The sequence below is a fragment of the Homo sapiens genome, chromosome 16 (assembly GCF_000001405.40).
Source record: "Homo sapiens chromosome 16, GRCh38.p14 Primary Assembly".
Classification (NCBI taxonomy): Eukaryota; Metazoa; Chordata; class Mammalia; order Primates; family Hominidae; genus Homo; species Homo sapiens.
Window position 1 is genome coordinate 81124255 of NC_000016.10, and position 14342 is coordinate 81138596.

At 50.6% G+C, this 14342-nt stretch overlaps 1 pseudogene across 1 annotated transcript in view, besides 1 other annotated feature; it reads right to left on the minus strand.

Moving 5' to 3' along the window:
* Window positions 1-14342, minus strand: part of PKD1L2 (polycystin 1 like 2 (gene/pseudogene)) — a 119520-nt pseudogene that overhangs the window by 23380 nt on the left and 81798 nt on the right. Inside the window, exons 33-36 of the transcript NR_126532.3 lie at window positions 13183-13279; window positions 9309-9446; window positions 6205-6390; window positions 3507-3812 (exon numbers count right to left, since the gene is read on the minus strand). The product of NR_126532.3 is annotated as a polycystin 1 like 2 (gene/pseudogene), transcript variant 1, non-coding (transcript). The remainder of the gene's footprint in view (window positions 1-3506; window positions 3813-6204; window positions 6391-9308; window positions 9447-13182; window positions 13280-14342) is intronic.
* Window positions 13292-13909: an enhancer, noted in NCBI's record as "H3K27ac-H3K4me1 hESC enhancer chr16:81171151-81171768 (GRCh37/hg19 assembly coordinates)". NCBI's record gives its function as "activates a minimal SCP1, AML or CMV promoter by ChIP-STARR-seq in primed H9 embryonic stem cells {active_cell/tissue: H9 hESC(primed)}" and the evidence as "EXISTENCE:reporter gene assay evidence [ECO:0000049][PMID:30033119]".

Sequence of the window (14342 nt, forward strand, 5' to 3'; positions counted from 1 at the left end):
TTCACGCCATTCTCCTGCCTCAGCCTACCGAGTAGCTGGGACTACAGGTGCCTGCCACGGCACCCGGCTAATTTTTTGTATTTTTAGTAGAGGCGGGGTTTCACCGTGTTAGCCAGGATAGTCTCGATCTCCTGACTTCGTGATCCGCCCGCCTCGGCCTCCCAAAGTGCTGGGATTACAGGCGTGAGCCACCACGCCCAGCCTTGGATGCTTTTTACGGTTTGAGAGCCATGGTGTTAGAAGAATCATAGTCCGGGTGCGGTGGCTCACATCTGTAATCCCAGCAGTTTGGGAGGCTGAGGCAGGTGGATCACCTGAGGTCAGGAGTTTGAAACCAGCCTGGCCAACATGGTGAAACCCCGTCTCCACTAAAAATACAAAAATACAAAAATTAGCCAGGTGTGACCGGGTGCGGTGGCTCACGCCTGTAATCTCAGCACTTTGGGAGGCTGAGGTGGGTGGATTATCTGAGGTCAGGACATCGAGACCAGCCTGAACAACATGGTGAAATTCCGTCTCTATTAAAAATACAAAAATTCGCTGGGCGTGGTGGCGCATGCCTGTAATCCCAGCTTCTCAGGAGGCTGAGATGGGAATTGTTTGAACCAGGGTGGCAGAGGTTACAGTGAGCCGAGATCACGCCACTGCACCTCAACCTGGGTGACAGAGCGAGACTCTGTCTCAAAAAAAAAATAAAAAAGAAAAAATTAGCTGCAGTGGTGTATGCCTGTAATCCCAGCTACTCAGGAGGCTGAGGCATGAAAATTGCTTGAGGCTGAGACAGGAGAATCATTTGAACCCAGGAGGCAGAGGTTGCCATGAGTCAAGATCATGCCACTGCACTCCAGCCTGGGTGACGGTGTGAGACTGTCTCAAAAGAAGAAAAAAGGGCCAGGCATGGTGGCTCACACCTGTAATCTCATCACTTTGGGAGGCTGAGGCAGGCAGATCACCTGAGGTCAGGAGTTTGAGATCAACCTGGCTAACATGGTGAAACACTGCCTCTACTAAAAATACAAAAACTTTAGCCAGGCGTGGTGGCACACGCCTGTATTCTCAGCTACTCAGGAGGCTGGGGCAGGAGAATTGCTTGAACCTGGGAGGTGGAGGTTGCAGTGAGCTGAGATCACATCAAAGCACTCCAGCCCGGGCAACAGAGCAAGACTCTGTCTCCGAAAAAAAAAAAAAAAGAAATAAAGAAAAAGAAGAAAAGGAGGCTGGGCTGATGGCTCACGCTTGTAATCCCAGCACTTTGGCATGCTGAGGTGGACGGATCACCTGAGGTCAGGAGTTCAAGACCAGCCTGGCCAACATGGTGAAACTCCACCTCTACTAAAAATACAAAAATTAGCTGGGTGTGGTGGCGTGCACCTGTAATTCCAGCTACTCAGGAGGTTGAGGCGGGAGAATCACTTGAGCCCAGAAGCAGAGGTGGCAGTGAGCTGAGATCACGCCATTGCACTCCAGCCTGGGCAACAAGAGCAAGACTCTGTCTCAAAAATAAATAAATAAATAAATAAATAAATAAGAATCATATAAAACATCAGGGGCTTAGGCAAGCAGCTCCCATGAGCTCCTGGAGATCTGTCAGCCTGGTGTGGTGGAAAGAGCACATGCCCTGAAGGTGGTGGAGGGACCTGGGTTCAAATCTTGGCTGCCTCCTGGACAAGCTAATAACTTCTCCAGGCCTTGGTTTCCTCATCTGCCATGGTGTGGTTTTTTGTTGGTTTTTTGTGTTTATGAGACAGGGTATTGCTCTGTTGCTCAGAATGGGGTGCAATGGCAATCATCCCTCACTGCAGCCTCCACCTCCCAGGCTCATGTGATCCTCCCACCTCAGCCTCCCAAGTTGCTGGGACCACAGGTGCGTACCCCCATGCCCAGGTAATTTGTTATCTTTTTTAGAGGCAGAATCTCAGTATGTTGTCCAGGCTGGTCTCAAATTCCTGGGCTCAAGCAATCCCCCTGTGTCAGCCTCCCAAAGTGCTGGAATTATAGGTGTGAGCCACTGTGCCCGGCTCTACAACGGTGTTAACACCAGTGCCTTCAGATCATTTAGAGAACATGGAGGGATGTGTGTGCATGTGCGTGTGTGTGTTGTGTGTGTGTAGTAATGATAGTTGTTATTACTTCCAGTAATAATGATGGGCCTGTAATATGCTGTGTCCCCAGTGGGTCTGCATCCTGCTTGGTACATAGCAGCAGATAGAGAGAGAATATGTTTTTTTTTTTTTTTTGAGACAGAGTTTCGCTCTTGTTGCCCAGGCTGGAGTGCAATGGCGCAACCTTGGTTCACTGCAACCTCTGCCTCCCGTATTCAAGCGATTCTCCTGCCTCAGCCTCCTGAGTAGCTGGGATTACAGGCACCCACCACTAATTTTTTGTATTTTTAGTAGAGATGGGGTTTCTCCATGTTGGCCATACTGGTCTCGAACTCCTGACCTCAGGTGCTCCTTCTGCCTTGGCCTCTCAGAGAGCTGAGATTACAGGCATGATCACTGCACCCAGCCACCAGAGAGAGAATATCTGCAGTCAGTCCAATTAGCAGGAAAAATGCCTCTTATTCCGAAATCGACTATTCCTGGCCTTTCCTTAACCCCAGGAGACCCTGTTTGTAGACAGAGTACAGGCTACACCATCATAAACCACCTTGGTGCAATGATCATACAATGGAGGAAACTGAGGTTCACGCGGGTCTGCTGATTTGCTTGGGCTACACAGCTAAAAGGAGCAGCGCCAGGGTTTCAAATCTAGGTCTCTTGTCTCAAGGGCATGTTGAGTCAGTCTTCACGGACCCTGAGCATCCCTGCACGTTCTTACTGGGTATTCTAGGAATGCAAGGCCGTGGCTGTGCTTTAGCCAAGTCACTTCTTAGGGCTGTATTTGCAGTGTGCAACCTTGTGGGATGAGGTGATGCCTTCCTTTGGACAAAGAGTAGGCTTCTTTCTGCTGCTGTAAAAGCATCAAATGCCCCCAGGCTCTGTATTGCAGGCACATGCAGGCATCTTTCACGGCCCTTTGTGGGCAACTGACTCAGACCAGTGTAATGTTCTGCTATGACTTTTGCTGTAACAAAATCCTTTGTCTCTGACCCAGGAATATTGCGTATTCTGCCAGCATCCGTGAAACAGTTAACAGGCTAGCTTGTTGGCTTACAAGTAGGGTAAAACCTCAAATTTTGCATAATTCTTGACAGATCCTTAACTAATTCCCTCTTGCCTAAGGGTGGACTGCTTTGAGTGGTAGTGAGCTCCCCATCTCTGGCCTGGCTCTAGCAGAAGCAACCAGGCTGTGAATGCTAGAGAGAGACTTTCCTTCCAATTCTGAGATGGCTTAGTTCCCAGGGACCTGAAAATACAACCTGCATGATTCTGTATCCTACAAGCCCTCCCACAAGGACCTGAATGAACTTGGCTCAGCCCTGTTTGGAAGACTACATTCCCCAAGCAGATGTGGACTCTAGCAAAAGACTTTACTCAGCTACAAATGAATCAAGTCAACCTTACCTTGACGTGCTTTGGCGATCAGTCCCCAAGGGGACCACGTAGCCTCCTCCCCGGTACACAGTGAGTTTGCCCCAGATGGGATACCCTTGACGTTGGTCCTGGCTCTGGTACTGCCATTACTGAGGGTGGTGGCATTCCAGCCTTCCCCATAGTCTGCCATGTCTTCAGCATCCAGGGAATATGGTGCACGGCATCCGTTGAGATATGCCTGCGGCTGCTGGGCAAGAGGGCAAGAGCTTTCCTGGACCCTCACTTGACGAATCTGGGCACTGCCAACCAGCTTGGAGTTCCCATCAGTGATAAAGCCTAAAAAGAAAAACAAGGTGGGTAAATCTAGCAATCAAAATAATCTTAACACATTCCAAGCTCCCCGGCCTGAGGCTAATGTGAAATTCAGCGTACCCATTATAGAGACAGCCCAGAGAAGTTTATCACCAACTATAGGCTACATTTATCCAAATAACCTCACCATCTCTCCTGCTGGAATCTACTGTGCTTCCGCACAACTTCTCTTAGGGAATGGAACCTGCCACCCCGTCATCCATCTGGATGTGCCTGTGCCCTTTCTCCTCAATCCTCCATCCCACTGGTCACCACATCCTATCCATCCTACTTTTTTCATGTCTTATGTGCCCATCCCGTTCTCTCCATCACCACTGTCCCTGGTCCCTCCCTGCACCAGCCCTCATCCTGTGTCCTCAGCATCCTAACTTGCCACCTCCTCCACCTCTTTTTTTTTTTTTTGAGACAGAGTTTTGCTCTTGTTGCCCAGGCTAGAGTGCAATGGCGTGATCTTGTCTCACTGCAACCTTTGCCTCCTGATTCAAGCAACTGTCCTGCCTCCGCCTCCCGAGTAGCTGGGATTACAGGCGCATGCCACCATGCCCAGCTAATTTTTTGTATTTTTATTAGAGATGGGGTTTCTCCATGTTGGCCAGGCTGGTCTCGGACTCCTGACCTTGGGTGATCCACTCACCTCGGCCTCCCAAAGTGCTGGAATTACAGGTGTGAGCCACGGCGCCCGGCCAACTTGCCCACCCTTTACTCCAACTTCCACATGCTTCCAGAGTGATCCTTCTACACCACAGATTTATGCCATAGCCTCATGTAGAAATTCAGTGGCGCCTCATTTCCTCAAGGATGAGATACACGCTCCTGAGATCCTTCATGATCTGGCCCGTTCATCTTTCCTGCTTTGCTTCTCACTGATCCTTAACTCACATCCTACACGAGAGTCACACCCAACACGCTGTGGTTCCAAGAACACGCATCCCATGGCAAGAGGCTGGGCTTTTCTCGTGTTGTTCATTCTGCCTGGTGCACTGTTTTTGCCTAGCTGGTTCAAGCTCTGTTATCACTCACTTAGGAGGTTCTCCACTCTGCATCGGGGGAAGGGAAGGTGGAGAGTCCCCCCTTGTGCACACCCAGCCTTCTGAGTCCCTCCTTCATAGCATCTGGTCCTGTGGTTATTGATTGGTTTTCTCTCTTCCTTCCTTCCCTCCTTCCTTCCCTCCTTCCTTCCTCTCTCTTTCTTTCCTTCCTTCCTTCCTTCCTTTCCTCCCTTCCTTCCTCCCTTCCTTCCCTTCCTTCCTTCCCTTCCCTCCCTCCTTCCCTCCTTCCCTCCTTCCTTCCTTCCTTCTCTCTCTCTCTCTCTCTTTCTTGACAGTTTCACTCTTGTCACCCAGGCTGGAGTGCAAGGGCGCAATCTCGACTCACTACAATCTCCGCTTCTCAGGTTCAAGCGATTCTCCTGCCTCAGCCTCCTGAGTAGCTGGGACTACAGGCACGTGCAAACACACCCAGCTAATTTTGTATTTTTAGTAGAGATGGGATTTCACGTTGGCCAGGCTGGTCTCAAACTCCTGACCTCACGTGATCCACCTGTCTTGGCCTCCCAAAGTGCTGGGATTACAGCCGCAAGCCACCACGCCTGGGGTTTTACTGGTTTTCTTTTCTTTTCCCTCCCTCCCTCCCTCCCTCCCTCCCTTCCTTCCTCTCTCTCTCTCTCTCTTTCTTTCATGGAGTCTCACTTCTTCACCCAGGCTGGAGTGCAATGGCGTGATCTTAGCTCACTGTAACCTCTGCCTCCCAGGTTCAAGCAATTCTCCTGCCCCAGCCTCCCAAGTAGCTGTGTTTACAGGCACGTGACAACACACCTAGCTAATTTTTGTAGTTTTAGTAGAGACGGGGTTTCACCAGGTTGGCCAGGCTGGCCTCAAACTCCTGACCTCAAGTGATCCGCCCGCCTCGGCCTCCCAAAGTGCTGGGATTATAGGCGTAAGCCACTGCACCTGGCCTCTTTTTTTTTTTTTTTTTTTTTAAGACAGAGTCTTGCTCTGTCTCCCAGGCTGGAGTGCAGTGGTGCAATTTTGGCTCACTGCAGGTTCTGCCTCCCGGGCTTAAGCAATCCTCCCACCTCAGCCTCCAGAGTTGCAGGGACTATAGGCATGAGGCATCACATCCAGCTAATTTTTGTATTTTTCAAAGAGGCAGGGTCTTGCCATGTTGCCAGGCTGGTCTCGAATTCCTGGCCTCAAGCAATCCTCCCGCCTCAGCCTCCCAAAGTACTAGGATTACAGGTGTAAGCCACCACACTTGGCCTGGTTTTCTTATGAGGCTGATGCTGACAGTGCCCCACGTCTGTTCCTAGCCAGAAGGCACAAGGAGGCTGACACAGCCCCAGGGCTTCAGGACTTACCTGGGGGGTGACCATACAGGTTACTCACGAGGGTGGTGTTGGCCCACTTGAAGAACTCTCGGAAGCCGAGCACACCTGAAAAGCCCCTGGTGAAGCTGTGCTGGAGGTGTCTGTTGAGGTGGTAGGCGCTGGGGTCCCTCTGCCCGTAGGCCACGAGCAGTAGCATCCACAGGAAGCCCAAGTATGCTGGGGAGGGAGGCACAGTCCCTGCTCAGGCAGGATCCACGACTCCCACCCAGTCCAAGTCAGGAAATGGAAAGGCCTCCTAGACCAGCCCCTCGCCACTGTGGTGACAATGGAACCAATCTTTATAGAGGCAGCGGAGAGGAGTAAAGTCACAGACCATGGGATCTCCTGCCTGGGTCCAAATCCCAGCTCTGCGACATCTCATCCAGGCGCCCTTCACAAGTGAGTCTATCCTTCCATGCCTCACTCTCCCCATCTATGAAATGGGAATAACAATTCTGTGATGAGGGGATCAGTTAATATTAGAAAGTACTGGCCGGGAGTGGTGGCTTATGCCTGTAATCCCAGCACTTTGGATCACTTGACGCCAGGAGTTCAAGACCAGCCTGGCCAACATGGTGAAACCCTGTTTCTACTAAAAATACAAAAATGAGCCGGGCATTGTGGCGCATGCCTGTAATCCCAGCTACTCAGGAGGCTGAGGCAGAAGAATCGCTTGAACCTGGGAGGCGGATGTTGCAGTGAGCTGAGATCATGCCACAGCACTTCAGCCTGGGTGACAGAACAAGACTCCATCTCAAAAAAAAAAAAAAAAAATTAGAAATCACATAAAACAGTGTCTGCAGGCCGGGCATGGTGGCTCACGCCTGTAATACCAGCACTTTGGGAGGCCAAGACGGGTAGATCACCTGAGGTCAGAAGTTCGTGACCAGCCTGGCCAACATGGTGAAACCCCCCCTCTACTAAAAATGCAAAAATTAGCCGGGTATGGTGGTGCACGCCTGTAGTCCCAGCTACCTGGGAGGCTGAGGCAGGAGAATTGCTCTAACCCAGGAGGCAGAGGTTGCAGTGAGCCGAGATCGTGCCACTGCACTCCAGCCTGGGCGACAGAGAGAGACTCCATCTCAGAAAAAAACATAAAAAAACAAAAAACAAAAAAAGAGTGTCTGCTACATTAAGCATTTCTTAAATAGAATTTTAAAAAATGGGGCATTTGCCACGTTGCATGGCTGAGGGTATGGTGGTGAAGACAAACACGTTCCTGCCCTCATGGTGCTCACCTGTCTCGTTGGAGACAGGTGAGTGTGACGTAGAGGATCCTTTAGGTGCAGATATTTAGTGTGGGGGGGTGGACATCACAATAACATGAGGGATCAGGTTCTTAGTGAACCGGAACCTCTGGTTCCTGGGCCTGGGAATCTGTATTCCAAGACTCTCCCCTCTCCCTGCAACCACCTCAGAAGACTTGAATGGATGCCAATGAGTAGGACACTTTGGGGGCGTGCACTATATGCTCTCTCCAAGGTCCACAGTGGGACTGAATCCCAGTGGCCCACCTAAAACCCACCTGTCAGGTACCCTCTGTTGGCTTCCTTCCCTCTCTGCTGCCCTTTCTCCTCCAACCAGTGCTTTCCAGGACTACCTCCCAAATCAGCTACTTGCACCCAAATCTGCTCTGGGAAATCCAGACTCAGAGGCTCCCTGAGGTGTGAAGGCTTTTGACCAGCTGGGCCGGGGAAGCCACGCTGCAGACACAGTGTTTAGGCTGAGATTTAAAGAATATGAGGAATTAGGCCAGGCCCAGTGGCTCACGCATGTAATCTCAGCACTTTAGGAGGCCAAGGAGGGCAGATCACTTGAGGTCAGGAGTTCAAGATCTGCCTGACCATCATGGCAAAACCCTGTCTCTACCAAAAAAACAAAAATTATCTGGGCATGGTGGTGTGCGTTTCTGGTCCCAGCTGCTCCGGAGGCTGAGGCAGGAGAATCGCTTGAACCCAGGAGGCGGAGGTTGCAGTGAGCCGGGATTGTGCCACTGCACTCCAGTCGGAATGACAGAGTAAAATTGTATCTTAAAAAATAAAATAAAAAATTAAATAAAAAATTTAAAAATCTTAGGCCAGGCGTGGTGGCTTATGCCTGTAATCCCAGCACTTTGGGAGGCGGAAGCGAGTAGATCACCTGAGGTCGGGAGTTTGAGACCAGCCTGACCAACATGGAGAAATCCCATCTCTAACAAAAAAAATACAAAATTAGCTGGGCATGGTGGCGCATGCCTGTACTCCCAGCTACTTGGGAGGCTGAGGAAGGAGAATTGCCTGAACCCGGGAGGCGGAGGTTGCATTGAGCTGAGATCGTGCCATTGCACTCCAGCTCAGGCAACAAGAGCAAAACTCTGTCTCAAAAAAAAAAAAAAAAATTAAAAATCTTTAAAAAGGCCGAGCATGGTGGCTCATGCCTGTAATTCCAGCATTTTGGGAGGTCAAAGCAGGCAGATCACCTGAGGCCAGGAGTTCGAGACCAGCCCGGCCAACATGGTAAAACCCTGTCTCTATTAAAAATACAAAATTTAGCCGGGTATCGTGGCGCACGCTTGTAATCCCAGCTGCTCAGGAGGCTGAGGCGAGAGAACGGCTTGAACCCCGGAGGCAGAGGTTGCAGTGAGCCGAGATCGTGCCACTGCACTCCAGCCTAGGTGACAGAGTGAGACTCTGTTTCCAAAAAAAAAATAAACAAATAAATAAATAAGAATAAGAGGAATTAGGCAGAAGAAAAGCTGGGGAGGAGGAGTGAGCAGACTCCAGGCCGATGAGATGGAACTGCCTGGGCAGAAGCCTGGGGTGGGGACAGGGTGCAGGTCGCAGGTGCTATAGAAGCCAATGTGAGGACAACGTGGGTCACGGGAGCCGGGAGCGGGCACTTGAAGCGGGTAGAGCCACAGGAGCCGGTTTGAGTTTTGTCGTAAGGGTCATGAGAGGCGACCGAAGGATTTTAAGTGTAGGGGAGAAGCTGGAGTGTGCTGATATCCAGAGAAACTGAGGCCCAAAAGACGAGCGGGACTTATCAAAAATAGCACCGTAAGGGTGTCTGTCTGTTTCAGGCTGTGCTGAGAGCCAGCGAGTGGGAAGGATGCCTACCCAGGATTTCTCTGATGAGGGCAAATGCTTTCTGTTCCTTGAGGTGGGTGGTTTTCATCTTCTCAATGGCAGCGGTGAGAGGTGGCTGGTAGACATCCCTGCTGCTGTTTCTTCGTGCTCGGAACAAGGCATAGGGGTCTGTGGAGGGAAGGACACCAGGACAGCCCCTACGTGTGCAGAGGAGGACAGGCTCTGCGTTTGCAACCATAGGCCCCTCTCTCACCTGCTGCAATGGGCTCTGCGTTCCTCTTCCTTGGGAGTCGTTTCCCAACTCTACCCTCCACACCTCTGTCCATGTTCTCCCAGGGCCTAGAGTCCCACGCCTCCTCCATCTGGAGGACTCTCCATAGAGAAAGCACAGAGGTGTCTTCCCCTCCCTGAAATCTTTCTGGCCCCTGCACTGCCTTCCCCGACACTCCAAAACTGATGGATTCGAGGATGAGGGTGACAAATATCTCAAAGTCCTCTCATGTCTGTTACCTAGTATCTTCATTTTTTCAAATTTAGCTTCAATTTTAATTTTTTTTTTTTTTTGAGACACATTTTCACTCTGTTGCCCAGGCTGGAGTGCAGTGGTACAATCTCGGGTCACTGCAACCTCCACCTCCCGGGTTCAAGCAATTCTCCTGCCCCAGCCTCCCGAGTAGCTGGGATTACAGGTACGTGCCATCATGCCTGGCTAATTTTTGTATTTTTAGTAGAGACAGGGTTTCGGCATGTTTGCCAGTCTGGTCTCGAACTCCTGATCTCAAGTGATCTGCCTGCCTCGGCCGCCCAAAGTGCTGTGATTACAGGCATGAGTCATCGTGTCCAGCCTCATCAATTTAAATTAAATTTTTAAATTTTTATTTATTTTTCATTTTAAGGCCAGTCATGGCGGCTCAAGCCTGTAATCCCAGCACTTTCGGAGGCTGAGGCAGGCGGATCACCTGAGGTCAGGAGTTCGAGACCATCCTGACCAACATGGTGAAACCCCATCTCTACTAAAAATACAAAAATTAGCCGTACGTGGTGGTGCACGCCTGTAATCCCAGCTACTCAGGAGGCTGAGACAGGAGAATCACTTGAACCCAGGAGGTGGAGGTTGCAGGTAAGAGAAGAGAGACGGATCCTCTCATATTGCTTTATATTGTTTTATACTCAAAAAGGAAAGAGAAGCGAAACTAAAGGCAGGTAGCCCGGCGCCTAAGAACTAGACCCGAAACCAAGGAACCAGACCTGAAACCAGGCCTGGGCCTGCCTGACCTAAGCCTGGTAGTTAAAGATCGACCCCTGACCTAACCGGTTATGTTATCTATAGATTCCAGACATTACATGGAAAGGCATTGTAAAAATCCCTGTCCTGTTCTGTTTCGTTCTGATTACTGGTGCATGCAGCCCCCAGTCACGTACCCCATTTGATCAATTGATCAGGACCCTCTCACACGGACCCCCTTAGAGTTGTGAGCCCTTAAAAGGGACAGGAATTGCTTACTTGGGGAGCACGGCTCTTGAGACAGGAGGCTTGCCGATGCTCCCGGCCGAGTGAACCCCTTCCTTCTTTAACTCGGTGTCTGAGGAGTTTTGTCTGCGGCTCGTCCTGCTACACAGGGAGCCGAGACCATACCACTGCACTCCAGCCTGGGTGACAGAGCAAGTCTCTGTCTCAAAAAAAAAAAATTTTTTTAATAAAAAAAATTAAAAAAATAAAAATAAAATGTTTTTCATTTTACTTGTTTTGTAGAGATGCAGTCTTGCTGTGTTGCCCAGGCTGGAGTACGGAGGTGCAATCACAGCTCACTGAAGCCTTGACCTCCTCGGGCTCAGGCAGTCCTCCCACATCAGCCTCTCGAGTAGCTGGGTTTGCATGCATGCACCACCATGCCCGGCTATTTTTTTGTATTTTCGGTAGAGAAGGGATTTCCCCATGTTGCCCAGGCTAGTCTCAAACTCCTGAATTCAAGTAATCTGCCCACCTCAGTCTCCCAAAGTGCTGGGACTACAGGCATGAGCCACTGGGCCTTGCCTCCTGTTCTTTCAAAACAGTCTGGGCACGGTGGCTCACGCCTGTAATCTTAGCACTTTAGGAGGCCAAGGCGGGCGGATCACTTGAGGTGAGAAGTTCGAGACCAGCCTGGCCAACATGGCAAAACCCCGTCTTTACTAAAAATACAAAAAATAGCCGGGCGTGGTGGTGGGTGCCTGTAATCCCAGCTACTTGGGAGGCTGAGGCAGGAAAATCGCTTGAACCTGGGAAGTGGAGGTTGTAGTGAGCCGAGATCACGTCACTGCACTCCAGCCTGAGCAACAGAGCAAGACTCCATCTCTCTCTTACACACACACACACACACACACAAATCATAAAACAGATCATCATTCTCATATGTAAAGCCCTTCCACATCCCAGCCTTGCCCCAGCTCCTATAAGACCCTGACAACCTGCTGCCCACCCCCTCTACCCTTATCTCTAACCATTCTCCCCCACCCCCAACTCAACATGCTCCAGACACACTGTCAATGGTTGCTATAAAATGGCTGCAATAAAACGACACCACTGTCCCACCTCGCGGCCTTTGCAGGTGCTGAGTGTGCAGTCCTTCCCTTCCCCCGTTCTCAGCAGAGAGGTTAGGCACCACCGCAGCAGAGAGGCCTGCCCTCTCTTGATCTTCCCCAACCCTATTTCTTACCATAATTCACACTTATATGTCTACTTGTGCATTTACCTGGTTGATGCCATCTCCCCAAATGGGCTGTTCATTCCAAAGGCAGCAACCTGTGCTGTGTTGGCAGGGACTGGGGTTGGAAGTGGGGATTGACTTTACATGGGCAACAAAGAACCTTTTGGGCTGACGAAGCTCTTCTAAATGTGAATTGCAGTGATGGTTACATAACCCTATACATTTACTGAAATCAACAAATTGTGCACTTACAATGGGTGAATTTTATGTAAATTATATTCCCAAGCCATCACAAGGCCTGGCCCGCAGCCAGTGCTCCCTGAGGACTTGCCAAAGGGGTGACTGAATGAATATTTAATGGTCTGGAGCCTAGCATCTCTGTGGAGAATTGAGAAGATTTTAATGGACCTCTCAGATCTGCAAATCTAAAACGCTGTCCTGGAATGGAAGAATACAGGCCCTGAAGAGGTAGCCACATTGCACTGTGAGGCACGTGCATGGCATTTGGTTTGTTTGTTTCTATTTTATTTTCCCTGAAAGGCAAGACCATTGCCTCAATGATTCCACGTTGATTCAGTTTTATTTGCATGTTTGTTTTGTCATTACTGTCACCACCCTTGGGAATTTTGGTTGGGAAGTGAGAAGTCAGGCTGGGAGGATGGGGACTGGCCAGTGGCCTCCTAGAGCAGGGGTGAGTGTGGCCGTATTTCAACAAACCTCTATTTACAAAAACAGGCAGCAGGAGACATGTGGCCCCCCAGCTGTAGTTTGCAGAGCTTTGTCCTAAAATTCTAATTTGCGGCCACTTTTTGCAGCCTCCTGTAAACCGATTCTTGTTTTAGTTTCTGTTCTAAAGCCCAGGGCCCTGAGTCTCGGAGAAGAAAGCTGCTTGCTTGGAATTACACAGAGAAGGACCGCCCATGTGGACAGCTTCGTCCCTGAGGCAACTCTTCTAGCTGGCAGGTCATACTTGGGTGTCATGGAGAAATGCCAGGGAACGAACAAACACAGATACTCAGGAGACAATGGAGTCACTTTTTTCCTGGCTCTTTTGGGGATGGCTCACAAACTGGGGGTGAAAAGCTGATGAGGAACAAAGGTCTGGGGAGCTGGCCCAAGGCCCAGGACCCCCAACAGGCTGCACTCTGCAGGGCTCACTGAGCCTCATCAGGGCCGCAGCTGGCCAGACCCTGCCTCCAGCCACCGAGGCACATTACCTGGGCCCAACAGATGTCCTGGCAGCGGGGCCACAGTATCCTCCTCATCGTCCACTCTCTTCAAGACCAGTGCAAAGAAAGCAGCGAATCCCAGCACCTGAAAAATACCCAGGGAGGTCCTCGAACCCACTCTGGTAACTCTCAACCCCTCATCTGCGAGCACGTGGGGCTTGGGGCCACGTTTGTATGTTGGGGAGGGCCCTGTGTTTTGGGGGAATGCAGCTCCCTTCTGCAGAGATGGGAGGTGGTCATGAAGCTGGACCGCAAGGCCTTGGCTCGCAGACCAGATGGGGGACTGGCCAGTCCTAGAACTCCCCTGAGCCTTCCCACCTACTACCGCTCACCTGTCTGAGGGGTCTCTGATCTCTCCGCAAGGAGAATTGCTCTCCCCCAGGGCTTTCAGCACAGGGATCCTGCCCCACCCTGCTCCTTCCCTTTCCTCCAGTATTAAGTAATGCGCTCAGGTGCAGGGTCTCAGCTGCAAGGCCTCAGCCACGTGATCTCTGCGCCTGCTCCACACAAACACAGGAGGATCCTGTGGTTCACTTGGGGAACAGAAAGGCTCAAGACGCAGCCCTGTTCTTAGTATCCTGCGAGCCTAGTGTTGAAGGGAGGTGTCGGATGCTTTTTGAGTCTTATGGTAAAGGCTGTTCAGGGAAGAATGGGGGACGAGAGGGGATTTGGCAAAGTCCCATAGGTGTAAAGATGAGCTTTGTTTTTTTTGAGATGGAGTCTTGCTCTATTGCCCCAGCTGGAATGCAATGGCATGATCTAGGCTCACTGCAACCTCCGCCTTCTGGGTTTAAGTGATTCTCCTGCCTTAGCCTCCCTAGTAGCTGGGATTATGGGCACCCACCACCACGCTCGACTAATTTTGTAATCTTTTTCTCTTTTTTTTTTTTTTTGAGATGGAGTTTTGCTCTTATTGCCCAGGCTGGAGTGCAATGGCGCAATCTCGGCTCACTGCAACCTCTGCCTCCCGGGTTCAAGTGATTCTCCTGCGTCAGCCTCCTGAGTAGCTGGGATTAGCTGCGATTACAGGCATGCACCACCACACCTGGCTAACTTTGTATTTTTAGTAGAGACAGGGTTTCTCCATGTTGGTTAGGCTGGTCTTGAACTCCTGACCTCAAGTGATCCACATACCTCAGCCTCCCAAA